Consider the following 27,709-nt stretch of genomic DNA (forward strand, 5'->3'; position numbering starts at 1 on the left):
CATATCTAAATCTCAAATCTTAAACCTCCAGAAACTCCCTCTTGCAGAAAAATTTCAAAGACCCAGAATATTACTATAGTTAGGAAGAAGCTAAATATTCAGCTGGTCCGTCACCCTCATCTTTTAGACACTGAAGTCTTTCTAAAAGGAACTTGAATAACGTCTCGAGTTCCAGAGAGAGTTATTGGTTATTCCAAGCTCCAGAGAGAGCTTGGAAATGGTTATTCACCTTTGATGAACTTACTACTTTGGCAAAAATGTGTAAGTGAAAAAAATTCTAGGCCTTTTTCCATGCCCTGAGGGAGGGATAGTTTCAAGACTTCATTGGATCAAAACAACAATAAATAAAACTCTTTACTTGTAAGGATGGATTGTTCTTCCAAGGATCTCAAAGTGGGATGTTATTAACAGAATTTTTTTTTTCTGTGTTTTTAATCTGGGAGTTAACAGCATCTCTACCATGATCGGAGGGGAACAAACAAACATGCCTACAATGTGCCTAGTTCTGTACAGTGGGCCAAACACATCTTCACTAAGAATTGCTTTTCTCGTAAACTTGGGTACTTGATGAACCTGTCAACCAACATGGAAATTCCTCCCTTTTCAATTCAATATAATGGATGAAAACAAGTAGATTGATTAACTAAATAGCTAACTAATGGGCTTCAGGACTGACTCTTATTGAAAGAATTCAGGACACAGTTCCTACATGTGAAATTGAACTTCACAGTTCCATAATGGGAGTCAAGTGTAATTTTTAAAAAATTTCTAAGTATGATAGTATGAGGGTAGTTTTAGAATATATTCTGCTTAACAACAATATAAATTGACATATGTTTTGGAAAACAATTTAGAAGTAGATATCAAGAGCCCTAAAAAATTCAGGCAACTTGACTCAGCAATTTCACTTTTTGAGAATCCTATCTTAGGAAATTAAGCAAAACTTGAACAAAGTTTTAAGCCCAAAGATATTCTTGGCAGCATAATTAATAGTAGGCAGAAGTTAGAAACAATCTCAATGTCCACTAAAAGAAGAAAGCTAACAAATTATGGTACAGACTTTCAGTGGTCAGCACTAAATGTGATGTTTATAAGATTTTTAATGACATGTAAAAATATTTCTGATGAAACATGAAGTAAAAAGATTAGGGGCTGGGCGTGGTGGCTCACGCCTGTAATCCCAGCACTTTGGGAGGCTGAGGCAGACAGATCATGAGGTCGGGAGTTCAAGACCAGCCTGGCCAACACAGTGAAACCCCGTCTCTACTAAAAATACAAAAAATTAGCTGAACGTGGTGGCACACACCTGTAATCCCAGGTACTCAGGAGGCTGAGGCAGGAGAATCGCTTGAACCCAGGAGGCGGAGGTTGCAGTGAGCCAAGATCGCGCTATTGCACTCCAGCCTGTGCGACAGTGTAAGACTCCGTCACAAAAAAAAAAAAGAAAAAAAAATTAGGATGTAAAAATTGTGTGTGTATGTTTATGTGTATGTATAACATCCAAACGTTGCATGTCCACATAAAGATACTCGAAGGAAATAAATATAATGCACTGTAAACAATATTTATCTTCGGTATCATTCCTTTAGTATCTATTTTTACCTTTTTCTATGCTTGTAAAATATCCTCTTCATCAGAGTATACTACTCCTATGGAAAAAAAATAACTTTAGATTAAATGATCAAAGAAAATAGTAAGCTTGAATGATAAAAATACACAAAGGTAAGTCACAACTATTACTTCTTTTTGATTCTGCATTTATTTTAGGGAATGGATAAATAAATGTATGAGTGAAAGAATATGTGTGCTTAATTTTCAGAATTCACTTGAAGCTGTCCCCAGGGGATTATAGAAGTTGTCAACAAATAGGGTATTTTTCATATACAGTGATGGCAACTACCTACATGCCTAGAATAGCCAATCTGATTGTCCATCATCAGAAGGAGACCATGCTGTCCACCTTAGCCAATAAGCCACAGCATTAACAAGAAAGTTATTACTTTAGTTCAGTAAAATTTGACATTATCCACTGTGCATACGTTAGACTGCACTAGCTGCTACTGAGACTATAGAAGTGAGTAAACACTCACTTTTCACAGATGAGATGCTAGCCCTTAAGGAATACTGATTTTGTAGCTGAGACAGACCTACATGTGCAACAGTAATTCAACATAGGTGTGCTAAGGATGCTGGTGAAGGGACTGGGAAAATGATGTGGGAGTGCAGAAAAGTTAGCAATGAAATCAGACACCCTTAGAGGGGGTGTTTTTTGCTTGTGTCTAGATATGTAGACAAAAACAACTGTGGGCGCGGTGGCTCACACCTGTAATCCCAGCACTTTGGGAGGCCGAGACAGGTGGATCACTTGAGGTCAGGAGTTTGAGACCAGCCTGGCCAACGTGGAGAAACCCCATCTCTACAGGTGGATCACTTGAGGTCAGGAGTTTGAGACCAGCCTGGCTAACATGGAGAAACCCCATGTCTACTAAAAATACAAAAATTAGCTGGGTGTGGAGGTGCTTGCCTATAATCCCAGCTACTCGGGTGTCTGAGGTTGCAGTAAGCTGAGATCATGCCACTGCACTCCAGCCTGGATGACAGAGCGAGACTCTGCCAAAAAAAAAAAAATCATTTTATGCAGGGAAATGTTTTTGTCTAATCCACGGAAACTGTAGTATTCTGCACTCATGAGACTATTTTTCTTTTACAGTGTTCTATGATATTTTTATGACATCTTTCTAGGTTCTAAAAAATGTACTTTACCTAAATATTTACATATATCCTCTTCAGATTTCATTTAATAAGAATGAGAACCTATCTCATCATCATTACTTAATGTTTCACCACTTCAGGAACAAGGAGACTAAGACAAGGGTTCTGCTGAGTCATTTTTTCTTTTGCTGCTGTATTCCTATCTGGAACGTGGAGATGGCAATAGTTTCTGAGCCAGGACTGGAGCCCTGGTTCGTTTGGACACTTTTTGTTCAAGAAAGTTCCTACTGAAGATGTTAGTCTATAAAACATATAAAGGAACTATGGAGTCTTGAGTTTTTTAAAAAAATTACAGGTTGGCTCTGTGAGGAGGAACCAGAAGGCTATTCCAACCAATTCTCCCCCAACCTTGAAACCCTGACACTCTGTTCCTGGACAGTCTTTAGCCTTGGGAATAATGAAGGTGTTTCAGGAGTGCTGGTTTTTATCTTTCTAGGGAGCAGGGGAAGAATGATGATAGCTGTCAAAAACCCAGAGTATCACACTGACTTGCCTTCTTTTCTCACTTGCTCCCTCCTTCCCCATTAAGTAATTTTTAGGGTAGGCACAAAGGAAAGGAAAGACTCCAGTCTCTTAAAGAATTTGCATTGTAATAAGACAAATCTAAATTTGTGTAATGAAGCCTTATAGTAAACTTGTATCCATACGCATCATAGGACATGGTGTTCTCAGATGCTCAAGTGTTGAATATTTGTGAATAGGGCTATTGAGAGTTAATCCATGAAGACTTTTGAAAGAAAGGAAAGATCTGAGTTTGAGCAGAGGCAAAACATCATGTTTATATTAAGTGGAAGTTAAAAATGCTTTATTCAAGTTTGATTCAAAATCAGATTCTAATGGTCTAGCCTTGGTTTCAAGCTAAGCCAAATTTTGTTATTTTAATGATGCGTTTTAGGAAATAGGGGGAAAATGGAGTAAAATGAGGTCTTTGGTCAGTATAAACACAAGTAAGATTGTGATGCTTGAACATGGTTCACTAAGTCAAAATCTGCCCTAAATATTTTAAATCTCTGAGCGTTTGAGAATCTGGGTGGTCTGAGCTCATAAAACAGCCTCTGTGAAGGCACAGTCTCTCTTCCGTTTCTCAGGACTCTGAGCAGTTGCTCACCAGCCATGTTGTCTGAATGACATAATTGCCAGATAAACCTTAGTGATACTGCAGAGTAATTACTTTAGAACAGTTCAATTAGTTTTAGTCTCATGTCTAGTTAAAATCATGCCCTTAGAAAGGTCATGTGAAAGACTCCAAAGAACTTAGTAGAGTATTTGATGAGGCCACAGTTCTCAGAAAGCCATCAAGCCATAGAAGCTGAAGCTACTCTCTCCTTCCTCCAGACCTTATCTTTAGGTGGGGCTTCATTTGCCAAAGCACCGCTCCTGGAGTCAGCCCAGGAGCTAATAGCATTGTGGAAGCAGGTTTAATGAACAGAAAGCCCCACTGAGCCAAGCATGAGCCTGCATTGTGCATATAGAAGCAATCATACTTGAGCATCACTCTAAACGAGAGAGGGCCAGAGATCTTCCCATCCCACCAGGGAACCAGCATGGGTGTCACCCTCTGTAACAGCTTCATATGAGCTTTACTTCTGGCCCAGGATCCCCCTCCCATGCCTTATTCCTTCACCTGTGGCTTTTCCTTATCACACTTTCCATCTGGGCAAGGAAAGCATGTCCATTCTCCTCCATGGCTATTTGATCTTTCTCTCCAGTTTCTTCCATTCTCACTGCAGTTAAGACTGCTCTTTTCTATGATGAGTTACCCTTGCAAGCCCGAAGTCCTGCTTTCTATTCTCTTGAGAAAGATAAGTGCTTGATGTCCTATGGGGCTCTCTTCCCCAGAAAAATTCCATTATCTCAATGAGGACTGGAAGGCAAAACGTGAGTCCCTAATAGTCTCTATAAGTTGCCCTTTCCTTTCATAAGATATGGGATAAGGTGATAAGCACATAGAAGCACACAGTTTGCAGAAACGTTTTGGGTGCTATCAGAAGAAACTATCAAAGAACAGGAATCACTTATAGACATAGGTTTTCAACATTTTAAAATTACATTTTTAATGGTTAAGTCTAAAGTGAGCTTTTAATATTTTCTAGACTTCCAGTAAAACCATTTAAACCCAATTAATATCTCAAAGAAAAACAGTTAATAAAATAAGAATAATTCTATTCCAATTTCTATAGAAAAAAACTAGTCACTGACTTAAATTACACTTTATTACCGATATCAGTAGGGAAAAAGCATTGTTTGAACCTGAGTCCCTAGTGTGAAATTATCATCAATAAAATTATACCCAGCTCTTCTCATATTCAGGGAATTGTGTTAGAAGTAGAAATGAATTCAGATATAGGTAGAAATTCATACCCTAATATTTACTTGAGAAACTAGTGATTGTAATAAAGCTTGATTATCAAATGCTTAACTTTAGCAAAAGAAATACAAATGAGACTGGTTTGACAGTTTGGTAGTGGCTAGTGCAGAATTTGATCAGAAGGGAATATGGATTTATATGGGTGTCACTCCTTTCTTCTGTACATTCCCTTGATATTTAGTTCTAAACAATAGTGATTTTTCTAGCATAGTCATCTATTTCCAAAATTATGAGGAATCACAAAATTATACAACTAATATGGTCCTCCCTATGTCTAGTTAGTAATTCTACCATGAGGAACTGATTATAAGGAAGCTGCAATCACCATGCAGTACCAATCTTTTAATTCTCCCTATCTCGTCTGGAGAAGCTAAAGAGGTAGCAAATACTCCTGGTTCAGATTCCTTCTGATGTCTCCTTTATGCTCTTTCCAGAGGTACCTCTGGCTCTGTTATCTCCTGGGGACTTATCTATGGAATTTCAACTTATGTCTTTTCAAGACCCTCATGCAGATTTTCTTCCTGAGGCAATTTATTAGTTATGTGTTGGGCTTCCTGGTTTATTATGAAATCTAAAACCTTAGCAAAGATGAAGGACCCAACTTTGATTCCCTTTATCTCTGCATCATCATTTTCCTTGCCCTCTATTTCCTTCTCTGGAAACAATGACTCCTGTTCTCCATGTTCTTCAAGATTCTCTCTCCCCTGAACATCTGTGGGACTATAACACTGTACCCCCACCATGGTACTTTCCGTAGCCTAAATCCAAAAACAGTGAACAACCCCAAACCATCAGCCTGCTACTTCAGGCCTAACTTATTCATATAATGGAGGCATCTTGACCAGCACGCCCTGAATGGCAGCCTGACTGGGGCCTTTTTGCCAATGTGCTAGTTCACTCTGTTTAGTCTTTCCTATGTGGAACATTGCTTCCAAATGGCATTCCAACTCAGATATTCCAGCTCCAAATCACTTGCCTTGACTACCTTTTAATACTCAATTTCATCATCTCTTGATTCTTGCAACGCTCATCTTTTCTACCTATGCTGTGTTCCCATCCTCTGTCTACTGTCTAGAATTGATGCACAGCACCATCTTCCTGGGTGCCACATTGGTTCAGCCTGTCAATTAGGCTGGTTCTTCCATAGCCATGCTGCTTAAGTAATGCCTGTCTTGCATCTCCTGGTAGCTTAAGATCTTATTAGGTCAGTGCCATCTTCTGCACCCAACAGATTTCTTCCTGACCAAGTAAATGAAACTCAGAGTAAAAGATTATGAACTTATAAAAGAACAGCTGGGGCTCTCTTCTTTAGTGCAATCAGGATCGGGTAATTGGTCCGTTAATTAAAACTCAGTGGGAGCTGAAGTACTGAACCCACCAGAGAGCAGTCTTCTTGCCACAAGCAAGAAGGTGAGAGATGGAAGGTGAGAGATAGTACCCTGTGCATGGGGTACTACCAGTTAAGCTGGTGAGTTGGTAAAGTGGAAATCAGTTAATAAAGCGTCTATTCTAATCCTCAGTTTTTTTTATAACACTTAGCAAAATTTACCGTCTAGCCTAAAACAGAAAAGAAAAAAAGTAAGATTTATGTTAAGCAGTAAACTTAACCTTGTGACATTCCCTAGTTCAGGGAAGTGGCCTCTTCAGAAGCTATATTCCACTCGTTCGTGACCCAGAACACCTTATAAAAATTATCAGTGCCCTTGGCTGAGGCTTTTTGTGAAATGCAGAAGATGTTAAGCACAAAAACTCAAATTCAAATCCCAAAGCAGATGGAACATGAATAATAGAAATCATAGTCTACTAATAATTCAAGAATAGCATCTTATGATTGGACCAATTCAGAGTGATAATTGCAACTTGGTACATTATTCGTTCATCTATTTGAAATCTTGGAAGGGACTCTACACAGCACAGTAAGGAGGCTTTGAGAGCCTAAAGCCGTTTCTGTTGTTGTTTGAATGGTGCCAGCCACAGCATGTTTAAACACCACTGCTGCTAGCTGGGTGCCAATGTGGTTTCACCAGCAAGTGTGGGCAAGGATTTTTTTTTTTTAAACTGAAAAGGATTGCTTCCAAAGCATGAAATCAACTGTTAAATCTATCTACTTTTTAAAAACATCCTCTATTTATACTTAGTGAATCTGTGCAAAAATCTTGTCACAAACACACTTAACTCCATGGCCTTAGTGAGAAACCTCTGCTGGCGGGGCTCCGACCTATAATCAAAGCATTAAGTGATCTCTCCACTCCCCTTCCTCCATTCATCGACAGCCCTAGCCAGTCAACAAATGGATTCTCAGGAGCATACCCAGATGAATCCAGGGCCCTGACAGGAGACCTATGTAAAGGTAGACCACTTAGGGATAATCACCAACCGTTTGAAGGGCATTTGTTATTAAAGGATTTTGCTTTTTGGGTTTTGTTTTTTAGCAAAAAGAAAGAAAGAGAAGAAAGAGAGTAGGTTTAGAGATGCAGACTGCCAAATTCATAAGTATTTGTATGATTATAAATACTAAAATGTACACATAAATTGTCCACATGGATCTGCTACTTTCTTCTTGGCCCATAACTGGATTATTTATTTCTCGAGTAAGGACATTGCATTCCCATTCGTTGCTCACATGCTTTAGCTTTCATCAAACTTTGTGTAATGCCCTACACACTATAGCATAGTGAATAAGAGCAAGGGCCCTGGAGAAGACTGACTGAGTTCAAATCCCAACCCCCCATCTCCTTGAGCACACCCCATAACATTTCTGTGCCTCACATTCATCAGTTGAATGTATTAGGTTGGTGCCAAAGTGATTGCAGTTTTTACCACTGAAAGTGGCAATCACTTTGGCACCAACCTAATAAATCACTTAGAGGAGATGACTGGTGCATAGTAAATGCTTAATAAACATTAGCAATTACTGTTAACTAACTGCAACTTGGCTAACTTGGCTACCCTATGTGTGTGAGTGACAAAATGGCCTGCTGATTTTGAGAAAAAAGGACCCTAGAATGGAAATGGAAATGAAGTTTCCAGTTAGTAAAATGGTATTAGAGTATAGATAATATGGAGCCATCAAAATTATTTCTCCAAGATAATATATAATGTAGATGTGGCATACTAATGACGACAGGAGAGAGCCTGTGGATCCATAGGTGTCTTTGTCACCAAGTGGAAAATATCTTGAAGTAGAAATCAAAACACCTAAACTGTAGTCTAGTTCTTTCCTTAACTAGCTATGTGATTTTGGTATAATCGTTTCACCTCTCTGGACTTCTGGACCTCAATGTTTTCATACACAGAGTGAGCAGGTTGATCTAGCAGTGCTATCCAATAGGATTTTCTGTTGTGATGAAAATGTTCTGTCTCTGTACTGTTGGGTGTGGCAGCCACTAGCCACATGGGGATATATTGAGCACTTAAAGTGTGATGAATACAACTGAGGAACTGCATTTTTAATTTTATTTTTATTTTTAACTAATTTAGAGTAAGATTACATAGGCACATATAACAAGTGGCTACTATATTGGGACAGCACAGACAGTATTTTCTAAGATCTTTTCTGATTCTAGCATTCTGTGCTTGACAGAACCTCTCTAGGAAAACCAGTATTGTTACAATGGATCTTAAGACCTTGTCTGATCTTTATGGTCTGTGTACTTTGGAAGAGAACTAAAAGCAAATTTGTAGAGACCCTTAAGAAGAACATGGATCTTGAGAAACTAGGAGTGTGTTTCCTGGAGGCTGATGAGTACTCTAATGACCGTCAATGGTATTTTCTAAGTCTTTACATGAATCAGGTTTGAACTATCTCAACTTCTGAAAAATAATAGCTAATAAAAACTGACATTTTTTGAGTACTTACTCTAGATTAACATACTTCTTTCACAAAAAACAAATAACATAGGCATATTATTATTCTTGATTTACGGATGAAGAAAGTGAGGAAAGGAAATGTTAAATAACTTGTCTCAGGCCATCCAGCTAGAAAGTGGATAGCCAGGATATGAAACTAGACAATGAGCTCCAGATCTTATTTTGTAAAAATCTTAATGAATAATAGCACACATATACAGCAGTGTTCAAGTCAAAAATGTGCAGATTAATTACTTTTCATAAAGTAAACTTGCCCATACCATTTCCAGAATATTACCAGCATCCCAGAAGCCCTCATTAGGACCCTATTCAGTTACCGCTCACCCCATCCCAACTAAGGATAACCACTACGCTGATTGCTAACACCATAGGTTAGAAGAACTTATACTTTAACCACTATGTTGTAGATCCCTGAAGACAGTATTAGAAGATCACATTCTTATAATCAAGAGAAGAAACAAACATGTTTGGTGGTTTCAAATTAATCGGTAGTAAAAACAGGCAATCCGCAGACTAGAGAACTACTCATTGATTTGATACATATTCATTGAGCATCTACTATGTAACAAGCATTGTACTAAGCACTAGGTATTCAACATTGATTGAAACAGACAGAGCTCCTCCTCTATAAAGGTTTTAAGACTTGGTCCACTTTATCAACTAATAGGTGGCTTAGAGAGTAGAAGAAGACTACTCAGTGATCTTGGTGGTGGCTGACAGCCACAATAGTGGTGGTCAATAGCCTTAGTGATGGGGCCGACAATAGTGCTGGCACTCCAGAGAAGAGTTGCCCTGGCTCTGGTCTCTAGAATTTTAGCAGAATGTCCTTTGAGTCTCCTGGAATTTTGGAAAGGTGACAATTAGAGCTAATTGCATGACATTCCACTAAAAACTATTTTATAAACAATTTCTGAATACTCTCTTTATAAGCAATAACTTAGGAAAAGTCTACAAGCTTAATGTAACCAGAGAGATTACAACATGAGATGGGAGATGTGGGGATATTGCATGAATAGGAAAAAAATTTAAAAGACCACCAGGGAACTCCACCCCAGCTAATGAGGAATGATTACTCCCTGCTGACAAGCAACTGAGCCACTCTAACTAATATTTTCCAGAGTAATAAAGAGGCTGATGCAAGACAGTGAAGCATCCAGGGGCTATTTCCAAACAAATTCTGGGAGATACAAAAGCAAATAGACCAATGACAGTTAAAAAAAAAAAAAGGCTTCTATGGGCTACTGCAAATTGAGCTACTTGCATCACTGTGACCCAGTCGTGCCTTATGCCCAGGGATACTTTAGTAACTGCTCTCTTGTGGTTCAGGGAGAATGTAGATGGAAGGTGAGTTTTAAATGTACCGACGTCTTGCTTTTTCCAAAGTTGACTTGATCTCTCCCTTGAAATGCATATGCTAATATGACCCCTGGGAATTGTGCAAACCTACCAACACACCACAAGGTCAGCTGTTTAGACATTGTTGGGTTTCCGTAATGCTGAGAAAATAGCATGGGAGCCCTGCAGGAACCGTGCCATCACTGTGTTTCTCTTATCTGAGCTCGGTTCTCACACTAGCTGGAGCTCTTGCATCTACTGTACAATGAAAACATACTGTGGGAACAACTGAAATTTCATCTCAGGGGAGGAGAAGGGGTGCATTTTCTCCTATTACCCAACTCCATGCTATGCAACCAGTCTCACCCATCCTTGTGTCAAATCCGCATAGCTAATGGAGCATGAGAAGCCTTAAGTGCCTCAGTCTATTTATTGTAAACAGTGAAAGGGTGTAAGCAGCAAACAGGACTTCTAATCATGGAAAGCTGAGTGGAGCTGTGCAAAGGGCTTGCAGGGAAACCCAAGTCCAGAGAGCACAGCTAGTGTGTAATGAACTGCAAGGGTGGCCTCAGGTCTTTTCCTATAAATGAGCGACAGGCAGACTCCTAGGAGCTTTGCAGCACCAATGAGGAGCAGCGAGGCCTGAGCGGGGAATCTGCAAAGCTCAGGAAGTTCTGACTCTATGATGAAAAGACTGAGCAAGAGAAAAGCCCCATTTCCAAATGGAAAAGGTCTAGACATCTAAATCCTTTCCTCTCATTTTTTTTTCTCACCATGATTTCAGCTTGCATTCAGTGGGAGCTGGCAATCTTTCCACTCAGGTCTTGTTCCTTGACAAACACAGTGCAAAAACTGATGCTTAGGCTTTAAACTATGTGGAGCACGCCCAAGGCTACTTTGTAGAAAGCGAAGGTCTGTGCAATGACCTGCTCCCTGGAGCCCTTGTAATAGTTGTTGGGAAGGTCTCAGAGCCAGCAAAATGATCGTTTCTGACTCTGTGGCTGAGGGATGGTGCTGCAAATGTGTGTTCTCTTGGGTTTCACTTCCTCCTGCCAAGATCACTCTGCCCTGCACCCTCCTCTTTTCTTCAAGGGATTAGGGGCTAGACCATTCATTCACTCATTCACTCAGCAAATATTTATTATTTGCTATGTGTCAGGCACTGATTTATGTGCAATGCACAGGACAGACAAAATTGCTCCCTTCATGAAGCTTACATTCTAACAAGAGAGAAGGACAAAGACAAATAAGGAAATGCATAGTTTAATATTGGGCAGTGATGAGTGGCATGCAGAAAAATAAAGTAAGCTAAAGGGACAGAGAGTTATTGTTAGATAAGGTGGTCTGAGATAATCCCTCTAAGGAGATGACATTAGAACCCAGACCTAATGATGTGAGCAAGCCATGTAGACACCTGGGAGAAGAATGTCTCAGGTAATGGAAATAGCACATGCAAAGGCTAACAGGTGGGAACATGCTTGGCATTCAGGAGGAACAGCAAGACCAGTCCTCATGAGAAGCCATGGGGAAAATAATAAAAGATGATATCAGAGAAGCAGGCAAGTGCCTGATCATGTGGGACTCTGGTATGGACTTTGCATTTTATTCTAGGAGGATGGGAAGCCATTTGAGCATGGCCGAGATATCATCTCTATTGCAAAACTTTGTGACTGTCAGTGGCCCTACCCACAGAATAAGACTGAGAGCCAAAGCTCAAACTGGAGAATAGACAGCCAGAGCAGAGTACGACAAGTCATAATGACCACAGCAATTCCAATGATCAAAGCTCAGGTATGACTGCAAGACCAGGAGCATTCTGTGATCCAATAGCCTTTTCTCTGTCTCCTCTTTTTAGAAGGGCCCAGTTGCCACTGTTAGGATGTAGAGAGACAACAGAGAGACATCATATCTATACCTGACAGGCTACAGGTCCCTCCTTGCCATGCACAGCTCTTGTTTGCCTCCCCGCTTTCCTTGCCTGCTCTTCCCAAGAACACCTGAGGCTCCCGTCACAGTGAATTATACATCTTCCCCGACCGTGTTATTCCTCCCTTCCTGGAATGTGCTCATTCTTCTGCCTAGAGTGACATTTTCTGCCTTGTATGCCGGAGGAAAGACCCACTCGTCCTTAAAGAGTCAGCTTAAATAGTATCTCCTCTGTGAAGGATGTACGGTATTTCTGCTGACATGTGTCACACTGCATTGAAGCATAGACAGGTGACACTGGATAAGAATAAATAATGAAGACGAGTTAAAATGTAAAAAAGGTTTTTTGTTAAGGTCAAGGAGATAACACACTCCTGTTGTAGAAGAGGCAGGCCACTTCGAAGGGAATATATGCTCCTAGTGTCATTCATCAGGCGGTAGGTAACTTCTAGGGGAAGAGGAAGCACACCAGAGTGGGAAAGGAACTTTTAGGGGCTGGGAGACATTGGCTAGACACTCAGGCATGTCTGGATCAAGCTGAATTGACTCTGGCCACTGCGATTAGGCAGGAAGCTGGCCCAGGAAGCAATCATGCATCTGGGTTTGTATGACAGTTCAGTTCCCGCTTAAAGTGAATTGGTAAAAGGAGCACAGTTTCTGCTCTCCTGAGGTGAGCATGGCAGGGAGGGGTGCTTTAGCAATGAGGAAGACACAGAGAAAGCAGAGGTGAACAGCCACCTGCAGGTGGATAATCACCCACTAAAGGACACGTGCTTCCATTGAATTAGATATGTTAAATAAAGGAGCTGCCCTGCATTGCCATCTTTGCTCGGGAAGAAGAAAGCTATTATAGCCTAACAAATGGTAATCGATTGCTTCTTATGACCAAATTTAAATTAAAACCGAAGAAGTTCCTTGAGTAAGACCAAACCTGTTGAAATTTCAAAAAGGCAACTAAACTTCGAACTTCCCCCTGACTCCATGCAGCAGCCGAAAGATCATAATTACTAGTTTGATAACTGAAAGGAACACTATATTTTTATTTAAAAGACACAAGTTTGAGTCCCTGGCTGTGCTGTCATTTGATTGTGTGATTGGCAAGTCACTTCACCACTCTGAACCTCAATATCCTCACCTAAAAGGCAGATAATATAGCTAACTTGCAATGTTGCAGTGAGAATTAAATGAAATGGGCCAGGCACGGTGGCTCACGCCTGTAATCCCAGCACTTTGGGAGGCCGAGGTGGGCGGACCACAAGGTCAGGAGTTTGAGACCAGCCTGACAAACATAGTGAAACCCCATCTCTACTAAAAATACAAAAACTAGCCGGGCGTGCTGGTGTGCGCCTGTAACCCCAGCTACTCAGGAGGCTGAGGCAGGAGAATCACTTGAACCCAGGAAGTGGAGGTTGCAGTGAGCCGAGATTGAGCCACTACACTCCAGCCTAGGCGACAGAGTGAGACTTCATCAAAAAAAAAAAAGAATTAAATGAAATGAAGTATATGAAATAACTTTGTATAGAACATGACATGAATAGAAGTAATTTAATAATACATTTCTGTTATTAGAACTACAATGGAATCAGCAATATGTTTATAACTTATTTACTGTATTGTTGTTACTAAAAAATGTAGTCAAGATCAACGCACTGAACTTTATGCAGGGATGTGCATTCTAATCAACATATGTAAAAATTGTTAAAGGGTTTTCTTTAATATCATGCATCAGAGTTAAGGCAAATGCAGAAGTCCCAGGGAGAAACATGTGAGAGTAAATCACATTTTTTATAATTTATTGTCTTTCACATTTTGCTTTCCAAATGCTGCCTCAAAATGTTGGGTTTTTAAAAATGGCCATCTAGACTTGGTAAAATCATCTAGCCAAAAGAAAAGGCCTTTTTGGGCATAACAAGACCAGAAACTATAAATATAAAGATGGATAGATTTGATGACATAAAAATTCTGAATGTCAACAGAGCAAGAACCAAGCAAATATATTAAAGCACAGTTGAAAGACAGGTTACAAACTGGGGTAAAACGTAGCATATGGGAAAGAGAAAGTGTTAAATTCCTTAATTTAAAAATTTTTAAATAAAAAATTATGAACAATCCAATGGAAAAAATTACATATAAAGATAATTTATCAGAGAAGAAACACAAATGACCAATAAGAAAGAATGCCTAATCTCCCCAGTGATTAAAGGAGAACAAACTAAAATAATAAGATGCTATTTTTCATTTATCAGATGGGCAAAGGTTTAAAAGAATGCTAATACTCATTGTTGGCGAGGGTGTAGGAAGTGGGCACTCTCATAAAATGTGGTGGGAATTAATTTTGGTACAACCTTTCTGGAGGGCAATTTGGCAAGACCTCTAAAAATCTAAAATATGCAAACCCTTTGACCCAGCGACTCCAATTTAGAAATTTATTCTAAAGAAATGAGACAAATGTGCAAGATATCTCTACAAAGTTATTTCTCATGAAGTTGTTTATGACAGGAAATTGCAAACACTTTAAATATCCAGGGGATTAATTGCATAAGTGATAGAATGTACACACAGTGAGACATTAAAAACAATGATGTAGGCATAGTTACTGACATGAAGAGATATCCTTAATTAGAAAACAAAACAAAAATTACTATACCGTAAAATATCCATCTGGTTATTGCTAGTGGGTGGGATTTGGGGTGCTAGTCTCTATAATTGTCTCAATTGGTTTATTAATGCTTTGATTATAGCAAGTATATCATAATAACTACTTTTACATTAAAAGAAATGAAAGGTATTTCTAAAATAGTTTTTTTAAAGCAATATTGCTTCTCACAAAGATTGTCTTACATCACAACATTTTAAGTATGACTTCCTTTTTTCTTAGTAGATTCCAATTGAGACATATTCGAGACTATTCCAACACAATATTCTCTTGGGGAGAGCTTGATTTGTTTTCATCCTCACAGTCTGATGTGCTGACATAAAAGCTGAAACAAAAACTTAATGAATCATCCTTCCCCTAATCCTTCCCTAGGAATTTTTGCTTCCTTTTCAAATACTTTTCTGCTGCTAGGACAAATCTCAGCTCTAAATCAAATACCCTAACTGCATGGAGCAGGCTTTTTGCACAAGGCTGCTGGTCTTTTCTCTAGCTTTTGCTTGCCTTTCTCTGAAGCAACCAAGGGTCCAGGCCTGGGGTTACCTTGTTCAATAACTGCAGTGTAATTCCATTTTTAAAAAATCAGTCAATTCAGTGAAAAATCTGTTCAGTCCTACAGAGAGTACTTAATATAGCAGAGAAAACAGAGGATACTGCTGAAGCATCTAGGTTCTAGAACAAGACTGCACGGATTTAAATTCCAATTTTACTTACCAGCTAACTTGCAATGTTAACTTTAGCCAATTACTTTAAGCCTCAGTTTTCCCATCTATAAAATGAGCATATAATGTCTTCTTCATAGGATTATTGTGAAGATCAAAAGAGAAATCATATGTAAAGCACTTAGTGCAGTGCCTGACACTTAGTTGACTTTGAAGAATGCTAGTCATTAATATTATCATTTGTTTTAATTACCTGTTGTGTAATTATTCTAGTTTCTGTAGGTCAGGAATCTGGGGGTGGTTTAGCTGGGTGTTCTGGCTCTGGTTCACTCACAAGGCTGCAATCAAGGTATCAGCTGAGACTAGTCGTATCATGGGTAACTTCCAAGCTCAGTCAAGAGGTATTGGCAAGACTCAGTTCCTTTTGGGCTGCTGGACTGAGGGTCTCATTTCCTTGCCTTGTGGGCCTCTCCACATGGCAGCTCACACCTTGGAAGCCTGCTTCATCAAAGCCAGGAGTTAAGAGCGTGAAAACAAGGTAGAAATTACAGCTTTCATAACCGCATCTTGGATGTGGCTACACATCACACTTGCTATATCTGACTCCTTAGAAATAAGTCACTGAGCCCAGCCTACAAACAATGGGAAGGGATTACATGAGGGAGTGAACCCAAGAGGGTAGGAATCATCAGGAACCATTCTAGAAATGCACTCACTGCCACATCATTGTCCAAGTTTTACAGGAAAATACTAAATTTTGAGAACTATGTTAGGTGATTTTGTAGACTTTTATAAATCCAAACAAATTGCAAAGTGTCCAGTTGGAGCTAATGGGTCATTTTATCTGAATTATTATCTATGTTAATATGGTGATGAGTATTACTGGGAGTTCACAGAGAAACTCCCAGTAAGCAAAAGAGTGGGTGCTGTAGAATAGGGGTCCCCAAACCCCAGGCCATGGACTGGTACTGGTCACTCACAAGATGACCACTCACATTACTGCCTGAGCTCCACCTCCTATCAGATCAGCAGTGGCATTGAATTCTCATAAGAGTGTGAACTGTATTGTGAACTGTGCATGCAAGGGATCTAGGTTGCATGCTCCTTATGAGAAACCAATGCCTGAAGATCTGTCACTGTCTCCCATTGCCCCCGGATGGGATTGTCTAGTTGCAGGAAAACAAGCTCAGGGCTCCCACTGATTCTCCATTATGGTGAATTGTATAATTATTTCATTATATATTACAGTGTAATAACAATATAACACTTGAATCATCCTGAAACCATACCCCACCCTAGTCCGTGGAAAAACTGTCATCCATGAAACCCAGTCCCTGGTTGCAAAAAGATTGGGGATTGCTGCTATAGAAATCTTCTCTGGTACTTACATTACAAAAGCAGTAGGGTTTTTCATTTGTTTTCCAAATATAATCCAACTCTGTGCCCTTGAATACATGTCTCAGCCAACTCTTGAAGGAATTAGATGCCATCAAGCTCTCAGAATCACCTTCCTCTTAGCACAAAGGAATGTAACCCCACATGTAGGGTCCATCCAAGGCATAGTTGGTCTCTTACTGTCTTCTGGCTCCTAAGCATCCCAGGGCTGTTGTTTTATCTTCACAGTTCACTCCAGGTTTTGAGTACCCCTGTTTTCTTCACTCATCAAAGTACCAGAGAGACTTTCTGTTACTTGATTTCAGAAAGCAATTTGATTCTTCCTGAATCTCTCAATTCTCTTTCCAGATCACACCTTATACTACAAAAAAAAAAAAAAAAAAAAAAAAGAGCAATTGTCTCCCTAAAAGAAATTCTTTTATACTCTGAGAGGGGCAGTCAGCTTTAAAAATTGTATGATGTTGTTTCTAATCATACAAATTCTACTTAATATTAAATATTATTCTTCCTTTACAATGACCTAAATTAAAAGTGTTCATGGAGTGAAAAAAAGTTAATTTCTCTCCTAATTGATTTATTAGATTCAGTGCAGTGCGAATCAAAATCCCCGCAAGCTTTTTAAAAATACAAGTTGGTAAGATAGTGTATTAGGCCATTCTTGCATTGCTATAAAGAAATACCTGAGTCTGGGTAATTTATTTTAAAAACTTTAATTGGCTCACAGTTCTGCAGGCATAGTAGCATCTGCTTCTGGGGAAGCCGCAGGAAGCTTCCAATCATGGCAGAAGGAAAAGGTGGAGTAGGCACATCACATAGCAAAGGCAGGAGCAAGACAGAAAGAGAGGTGTGTGTCAGGGGGTGCCACACACTTTTAAATGACCATATCTCACGAGAACTCACTGTCATAAAGACAGTACCCGAGCCATGAGGAATTCACACTCATGATCCAAACACCTCCCACTAGGCCCCAACTCCAGCACTGGGAATTATATTTCAATGTGAGATTTGGGCAGGGACAAATATCCTAACTATATCATTCCATTCCTGGCCCCAAATCTCATGTCCTTCTCACATTGCAAAATACAATCAGACCTTCTCAACAGTTCCCCCAAATCTTAACACATTCCAGCATTAACCCAAAAGTCCAAAGTCTCATCTGAGACAAGGGAAATTCCTTCTACCTATGAGACTTTAAAATCAAAAGCAAGTGACTTACTTCCAAGATACACTGGGATATAGGCATTGGGTAAACATTCTCATTCCAAAAGGGAGAAATTGGCCAAAAGAAAGGGGCTACAGGCCCCATGCAAGCTCAAAACCCAGCAGGAGAGTTATTAAATTTTAAAGCTCCAAAATAATCCCCTTTGACTCCATATCTCACGTCCAGGGCACACTGGTGCAAGAAGTCAGCTTCCAAGTCCTTGGGAAGCTCCATCCCTGTGGCTTTTCAGGGTTCAGCTCTGGTAGCTGCTCTCACAGTTGTTGAGTGTTTGCAGCTTTTCCAGGTACAGGGTGCAAGCTACTGGTGGATTTATCATTCTTGGGTCTAGAGGACAGTGGCCCCTTTCCCACAGCTCCACTAGGCAGTACCCCAGAGAGGACTCTGTGTGGGGGTTCTAAACCCATATTCCCCCTTGGCATTGCCCTAGTAGAGATTTTCTAGGAGGGCTCTGCCCCTGCAACAGGCTTCTGATCTGAACACCCAGGTTTTTCCACACATCCTCTGATATCTGGGCTGAAGCTCCCAAGCCTCCTTCACTTTTGCATTCTGTGCACCTGCAGGCTTAACACCACATGGGAGCCACCAAAATGTGTGGTTGCACCCTCTGAAGCAGCAGCCTGAGCTGTATCTGGGGCCCTTTGAGCCAAGGCTCAAGCTGGAGTGGCTAGGATGTAGGGAGCAATATCCCGAGGCTGCACAGGGCAGTGGGGTCCTGGGTCTGGACCACAAAACCATTCTTCCCTCCTACACCTTCAGAGTTGTGATGGGAAGGGCTGACAACATGGTCTCTGAAATGCTTTCGAGGTATTTTCCACATTGCCTTGGCAAGTAGCACTTGGCTCACTTTTAGTAATGCAAATTTCTCTAGCAAGCGGTTGTTCTACAGCCTATTTGAATCCCTCTCCCAAAAAAAGCTTTTTCTTTTTCTGCCACATGGCCAGGCAAATATTCCAACTTTGTATACTCTGTTTCCCATTTAAATATAAGTTCCAACTTTAAAGCATTCCTTTACTCCCACATCCGGGAATAGGCTGTAAGAAGCAGCCAGGCCACCTATTGAACACCTGCTACTAAGAAATTTATTCTACCTGATACCCTAGGTCATCATCCTCAAGCTCAAACTTCCATAGGCCCCTAGGGCATGAACAGAATGCAGCCAAACCCTTTACTCAAGCATAACAGGTGTGACCTTTGCTCCAGTTCCCAATAAGTTCCTCATTTGCATCTGAGACCTCCTCACCCTGGACTTCACTGTCCATATAACTATCAGAAGTTTGGTCACAACCGTTTAACCAGTCTCTAAGAAGTTCCAAACTTTTCCTCATCTTCCTGTCTTCTGCTGAGACCTCCAAATTCTTCAACCTCTGCCTGTTACCCAGTTCCAAGGCTGCTTATACATTTTCAGATATCTTTATAGCAATGCCCCACTCCTCAGTACCAATTTTCTGTATTAGGTCATTCTTGCATTGCTACAAAGAAATACCTGAAATGGGGTAATTTATTTTAAAAAGAGGTTTAATTGGGTGATGGTTCTGCAGGCTGTACAGGAAGCATAGCAGCATCTGCCTCTGAGGAGGCCTCAGGAAGCTTCCAATCATGACATAAGGCAAAGGCGGAACAGGCACATCACATGGCAAAAGCAGGAGCGAGAGAGAGAGAGAGTGAGAGTGAGGGGGAGGTGCCATACACTCTTAAATGACTAGATCTCATGAGAATTCACCATTATGAAGAAAGCATCAAGCCATGAGGAATTCACCCCCATGATCCAAAAACCTCCCACCAGGCCCCACCTCTAGCATTGGGGATTATGATTCAACATGAGATTCGGGCAGGGACAAATATCCAAACTACATCAGATGGTTCTAAATTTATATGGAAATATAGAAACTAGAATGGCCACAGTAATCTTAAAGAAACAAAGTTGGAGAATTTAAACTACCAGATTTCCAAACTTATTGCAAACTAATCCATAGTAATCAAGGTGCTGCAGTGTTGTCACCAAGATAGACTAAAAGATCTGAGGAAAAGAAGAGAGAGAAATAGAAATAGAAGAGAAATAGAAACACATATACAGTCATGCACTGCATAAGAACATTTTGGTCAATGACAGACTGGATATATGATAGTGATCCCATAAGTTTATAATGGAGTTGAAAAATTCCTATTGCCTAGAAACATCATAGTGCAGCATGTTACTCACAGATTTGTGGGGATGCTGGTGTAAACAAACCTACTGCACTGCCGGTCCTATAAAAGTATAGCACAGGCCAGGCAAGGTGACTCATACCTATAATCCCAGAGCTTTGGGAGGCTCAGACAGGAGGACTGCTTGAGCCCAGGAGTTCAAATCCAACTTGGGGAACATAGCAAGAACCTGTCTACAAAAATTTTTTTAAAGTAGCCAGGTGTGCTGACACACACCTGTGGTCTCAGCTATTCAGGAGGCTGAGGTGGGAGGATCACTTGAGCCCAGGAGATAGAGGCTGCAGTGAATTATGATTGTACCCCTGCACTCCAGCCTGGGCAGTAGAGTGAGATCCTATCTCTAAAAAGAAAAAAAAATACAGCACATGCAATTATGTACACTTTATAATACTTGATAATGATAATAAATGACTGTGTTACAGGTATATGTGTTTACTATACTAAACTTTTTAATCTTTAATTCAGAGTGTTCTCCTACTTATTTTAAAAAGTTAACTGTAAAATAGCCTCAGTCAGACCCTTCGGGAGGTATTCCAGAAGACATTGTTATCACGGGAGATACAATTCCGTGCATGCTATTGCTCCCAAAGGCCTTCCAGTGGGACAAGATGTGGAGGTGGAAGACAGTGATACTGATGATCCTGACCATGTGTAGGCCTAGGCTAATGTGTGTGTTTGGAGCTCAGTTTTTAACAAAAAAGTTTAAAAAGCAAAAAAACAAACAAACAAAAAAAACCCTTTTTTAAATAGAAAAAAGCTTATAGAATAAGGATATAAAGAAAGAAAATATTTTTGTTTTCTATAAACAAATACTATACAATGTGTTGTGTTTTAAGCCATACAATGTGTTGTGTTTTAAGCTAAGTGTTTTCACAAAAGAGTCAAAAAGTTTCTAAAAATTCAAAAGTTTATAAAGTAAAAAGTTACAGTAAGCTAAAGTTAATTTAGTATTGATGGAAAAATTTTTAAAGAAATTTAGTGTAGCCTAAGTGTACAGTTTTTATAAAGTCTATAATAATGTACAGTAATGAGCTGGGCCTTCACATTCACTCACCACTCACTCACTGACTCACTCACAGCAACTTTCAGTTCTGCAAGCTCCATTCCTGTAAGTGCCCTGTACAAGTGTGCCATTTTTTACCTTTATACTGTATTTTTATTATACATTTTCTATGTTTAGATACACAAATATTTACTATTGTGTTATAATTGCCTACAGTATTCAGTAGAGTACCATGCTGTACAGGTTTGTGGCCTAGGAGCAATAGGCTGTTCCATATAGCCTAGGTGTGTGGTAGGCTAGGTTTGTGTAAGTACACTCTATGATGTTCGCACAAGGATGAAATCACCTAACAATACATTTCTCAGGACCTATCCCTGTCCAGTGATGCATGACTGTATACAGATACTGATTTTCAACAAAGTCACTAATAAAAATCAATGAGGAAAGGAAGGTCTTTATATTAGGCTGGTGCAAAAGTAATTGTGGTTTTTGTGATTGAAAGTAATGGCAAAAATTGCAATTACTTTTGCACTAACCTAAATAAATGATTGTGAGAACAGCTGGCTATTCAAATGGAAAACAATGAAACTTGACTTATTTTTCACATCACATCAAAAATTAATTTGAGATAGACATAAACATGAAAGCTAAAACAATAAAACTTCTAAAAGAAAACATGAAAATATCTTCACTAACTTGGAACAGGCAGAGTTCTTAGACACTAAAACATTAATTACAAAAGAAAAATTGATAAATAGTACTTAAATTCATAAGTTCTCCTTATCAAAAGATACTAAGTGAAAAGATAGGCCATTGACTAAGAAAACATGTGCAATAAAATATCTAACAAAGGTTTATCTATTCTATTATATTGATCACATTTCTATCTGAAATCTATCATATTATTCCAATGATATCTGAAATTAAGTAGTTTAAGTTCTCCATGATACGTATCAGGAATATATTTTTTAAATTAATAATAAAAAGACAAGCAACCCAACTTAAATATGGGTAAAATGCCCAAATGAGCACTTCACAAAAATTAGTATATAAATAGCCAACAAAGGTATAAAAAATGCTCGACATTATTAGTCATCATTGTAATGCACATTAAAACCACAACGAGATATCATAATACACACATCAGAATGGTCAGGGAAAAAAGACAATATCAAGTATCGTCAAGGATGTGAAGTAAGTGGAAATCACATACATTGCTGGTGGGAATGAGAATGTTGCAATTATTTTGGAAACATGTCTGTTGATTTCTAATTGAGTAAGTTAAATAAACATCATCAACTCCTTGACCTGGCAATTCTACTGTTAGGTTTATAATCATGATACATGAATACATATGCCCACAAAAGACTTGTATAACAGTGCTCATGAAAACTATATTTATAATAGCAAAAAGGTAGAAATAGCACAAATGTTTATCAATAGGAGAATGGATAAGCAAATTGTAGTATATACAATGGAACTACCTACCATTTGTGGAATACTATACAGCAATAAAAAGAAATGAACTCTGGGCAATAACAACATGGATAAAATTTTTTTAAAATACTTTGACTAAAAGAAATCAAATCAACCACTATAGAGGACAACTTTTAAATTATATTTGAATTTCAAGAATAGGCAAAACTAGTATCGGAGATAGAAGTAAGAATAAATGTTACCCTGGGCTAGGAAAGTGGGGTGTTATTGACTGGAGAAGGTCATGAGCTAACTTTCAGCAATGATGGAAATGTTTTAGGTCTGGATCTAGGTGATGGTCACATGAATATATAAATATGTAAAACGTATTTAAGCTGTACACTTAAAATTTCTGCACTGTATAATATAAAAATTGTATCTCAATAAACATTGAAAAAGTCAAAATAGTATTAGAAATTCCTTTTTCTAATCATATAGAAACGCTTACTCCACTTCTGCTGAACCCCCACCAGAAAACCTTCAACATTCTACTGTGTCCTGTTTGGAGAAGTATATCCTCTAATCCTTCTTTGTTGAGATTACTAAATAATTCACTTAACAGCTTGGAAAGCATCCACCATATACTTCACAGAATGGAGTTGGATTTGTGGAGCCACAGATGGGGGACAACCACTTTATCCCTAGAGCATATCTGCCCCATAATTGGCTCAGGGATGGCCGCCTGAGATCCTGAGTGGAACATAGGAGGAGCTAACTCCCAACCATACAACCAAACTCCTGGTTCAACTAGAAATTCGGGGGTAGGTGCCTCACACAGGGACATGAGCATGAGTGGGTAGGTGGGAGAGCCTTACCTTGGCTTAATCCCTTGTCCTTTTTTTCATGGACTTGCTTGACAGAATGTGTGGTGGGGGCTGGGTAGGAGGCTCACCTTGACAGACAAAACGCTGACAAATCACCTTCAAAGGAGTTGAGATAATTTGATGGGAATCATTTCTTCTCTGTGGAGTACTAAAGGACTGATGTAGGGTAGTTGACTAACTGAGGGCGGTGTCAGAGCCAGCTTTGTAGTAAGGGAGGAAGGTTAGGAAAACAGGTTTCTCACGCACATGGGAACATTGGGGTAGGTAGGGGGCTTAATGTATTTTCAGGGTCTGTGCTAGCTGAGGGCATCTGGTAGCACAGTCTTCAGAGAAATTCTCCTAAATATTTTCCACGTTTTCTATTCTACAAAAGAGAATTAGACCCAGGTGCTAAAGGCACAATCACATCTCATTGGTGTTCACCAAAGATTGTATTCATTGTTTCTAAAGATGCAACAGCCCATGTTTTTTTGCAGCAATTCCAGGCTCCAATGCAGAGAAGCCATGTTATGTATACAACTTGCATGAATCCCATTCTACTGTTCCTTGTTCCCTGTCTCGTTATCCTCAACTTCTAAGAAAGCTGATATCCTCGCTTACCTTAAATGTTTATAACCTTACACCAAGAAATACCAACAACTTTTTAAAAATTATTTACTTATGCCATTTTTATAATTAGGTACTTTGCTATTTAAGGCTTTCAGGGGCAAACACACAAAAAATTGTTTTGATCGAGTTACAAAATAAAATCTTAAACAAATGTACATAGAATACTCAAGAGTTTATTTTAAAAGTGATTAAAAACACATACCAACCTTAAGTGAATATCATTTCCTTTAAAATAATACCTAGGAAGGTACTTAATCCAACAAAAACTCCTCTTTTGCAATTGCCCCTAGAGCTAGTTCACAGCTGCACGTAACACAATAACAGATAAAATGAAACTCATTATTTTATAATTACACTGTCTTTAATTAAGAAAGATGTTGGCCTAGCTTACAATCAAAATCAAAACCCCCCCTTAACAAAGATGATTGGCCATCACTGAGGCAATTGCAAAATACCAGTTCAAAAGTGTGATTTTTTAAAAAAAACTGTGACAAGTGATGGAGGATTACAAAAACAAGTGACAAGCCTCCCAAACTTGTCTCTCAAGCTTGTCCTTTGAAGGAGACAGTAGTCATTTTTAATAACAAGACCTTTTTGTGAAATAAAATAAAAAATAAGAGAAACCCACTGAATCTCATTGCGTTGTTCTCATTCCTTTTGCAGATGAGTGCATACTGTGTATTGTGCCATTATTCTTTGAATGATCCCTTTTTATTTTTTAAAAACCACTTTGTCAATTTTTCCATTAATAAATTGCTATAAATTAATTGAAGAGTTCAGAAAACACAGAAGAAAATATGATCATCTATTATTCCACCACAAGAGATTAGTCATTTTAAAGGTGGGTTTTGTATATTACCTTAAAAATGATTACAATAAAGCTGAGATGGCTATGCTGGTTGAGATATTACATTTAGAAAAATGTGAAAGATCATTACTGAAGCCTTGATATTTGTTTTGTAGAAACTGAATATTGAGGGTAAAAATCAAGTTACAGTATTCTGTCTACAAGTCAGACTTCAAGTAATAGTTTCCAAATATATGAATGCCTTTGGCACTAGGGATTCTTAAGTGTATCATTTAAGAAGTAGTGCCTTCTCCAGCTCAGAAAGCTATGTCCCACAAAGCAAAGAAAGCCAGAAGTTACTTGTCTTTCCAGGCAAGTTGGCAAGAGTGAAACAAAAGAGGAGGTGATACCCATTAACTTTCCCTTCTGGATTATAGAGTGGGAGCCACTGCAACCTTTCATCCAATAGCCATGGTCACGGCCAAAGCCAAGCAATCCTGCCATCTTTGGGCTCCAGAATAAAAGAGCTTCACTCTTCCCAAGGTTTACCTGTGAGGACCAAGGTAAGAAAGAAAACTTTCTTGACAAATATTTGTCAAGAAATACTTGTCCTAAAGTCCAAATCTAAGTTTATTCACTAATCATTGTACTTGTAAGCCAACCGAGGTATACAGCATCTGAATTCCTCAAGCTATATTGCTGGAAATCCATATGAAACTCATTGAAAGGGCATTTCTCTTTACCACCTTCTTGCATTCCTTTGGCCACGCTGATGTCTGTCCCCTGTGTCTCAATTACTGAGCTGGGTACGGACTTTATGGACCTGAGGCAGAGAAGGGTGGAATCTGGGTTGACAGGGAGACTTAGGAGATACTAGGATGTAGTGAAGGCTATAGTAATTGATGGAATAATGCCTCCGAGACAGAACATGTAGAGTAAGAAGAGGAAAAGACAAAGATGGAGATTTGAGGAACCCTTGAAGTCTGACAGGGCATGGTTGTTCATAGGATTTAGAAACAAGAAACAGGGCATGCACAATGACACCCACATGGTGAAAGCATTCTATCTGATCATTATGTGTTATAAAACTGTATAAAACTATCTGTTATAAAACTTTATATTGAGCATCTCAATGGCAGGAACTTTGTCTTGTCTATCTTTGGGTCTTCCTTAGCTCCTACAAATGCTTAATTGATGTCTAGAGGGGAAGAAGAAGGAGAGGGTAGAAGCAGAGAAAAACAAGAAAATAGAAAACACAGAGTGGGAACAAGGAAGACAGGCAGGAGGAAATCAGCTGGAGAGGTAATATTCCACAAAGATTCTCTGTCCAGCTTGCTTGCTAGAAACCTAGAACTTCAGTGGCTAAGTCAATCTCTGAACAAGAAGAGGCATTGCCAAGAAGCCTGGGGGAACTGAAAGCCAACCCCAGGAAACTAGCCTGCAGAGTAGAAACAAGGAGTGTGCAGTGTTGTTTCTAGACCCACACAAGAAATTGATAATAACTTCAGTAAAGTCAAGGCTTCTGATGTGAAGATACGTTCATCGGTTTTTTGGACTGCTTAAAGACAAGGCAATAAAACAGATCTTGAGGACTCAATTGACCCAATACTGAAAAGAAGTTACTAAAGATTTGGTAGCAGTAGATGATCACGTAATTGTGATTATATGTCACTCTGGTGCACTGGCTTGCAGGAGGTAAGACTGTGAGGTGGCAAGGAAAGAGAATAGCGGTTCTGGTTCACAGAGCACTAACACTGCATTGATAGCAATGATGGAAAATGATATTTTCCCAAATCGCTGTGGTCTGCATCTTCTAAAATCTACTATTTATTTTCTCCCAGTCAAAGTTTACCTCTATTTGACTTTGTAGGTTCTTGAAGCTAATAAATTATGGAACTACTTGCCTAGAAAAATATTTTTGTGGAAAGAATTGTAATCTAGAGGAAACACTCACTGACTGAATTCCAACAAACCTGTCCAGTGGTATGGTTGAGTTCTTGCCCTCTGCCCAAAGCCAAGAGATTTACCATGAATAGAAACCATTCAAGGCTCTTAATTCAACATTCTTGAACTGTGCTGCAAATTTGGTCCTCCCATAGGAAGGTGGGGTGAGGGACAGGGAGGGTTAGAAAAATCTTTTTATCTAGCCATACTGGAAATGTTTTGTTTAGTCTGGAGAAACCCAAATGATATAGTTTTTCAGATTCTGTACTTTTTCATTTTGGCTTTGTTTGTGTATGATATGTGCACCAAAAAACCGTCAAAGTACAAAACTCATTCTAGAGCAATTTAAAGTCTACTCATGCTAAACAATGAGTTAAAAGAGTGTGTTGCTTTTCTGTAGTTCCTTTCAAGCAGAACATTAAATCTCTGAGTATTTTCAGAAATTTCTGCAAGAACTCAGTCAGACAGTACTTGTCCCATTTTCCCAATGGAAAAATATTTTGATAAATCGCATAACATGGCCTAATCTTTTCAGTAGAGTCCTCATTTCCTGCCCAATTTTCCCCTCTACTCACCTTCCACCAACCCCCAAGAAAGGCGCCCGTCACCACGCCCAGCTAATTTTTGTATTTTTAGTAGAGACGGTGTTTCACCATGT

At 39.2% G+C, this 27,709-nt stretch overlaps 1 long non-coding RNA gene across 1 annotated transcript in view; it reads right to left on the reverse strand.

Annotated features, from left to right (window-relative positions):
• Positions 1 to 27,709, reverse strand: part of C5orf67 (chromosome 5 putative open reading frame 67) — a 94,975-nt gene that overhangs the window by 43,257 nt on the left and 24,009 nt on the right. The window contains exon 2 of the long non-coding RNA NR_161255.1: positions 1,603 to 1,649. This is a non-coding gene — a long non-coding RNA (chromosome 5 putative open reading frame 67). The remainder of the gene's footprint in view (positions 1 to 1,602; positions 1,650 to 27,709) is intronic.

This window comes from Homo sapiens, chromosome 5 (genome assembly GCF_000001405.40).
Source record: "Homo sapiens chromosome 5, GRCh38.p14 Primary Assembly".
In the NCBI taxonomy this organism is placed as follows: Eukaryota; Metazoa; Chordata; class Mammalia; order Primates; family Hominidae; genus Homo; species Homo sapiens.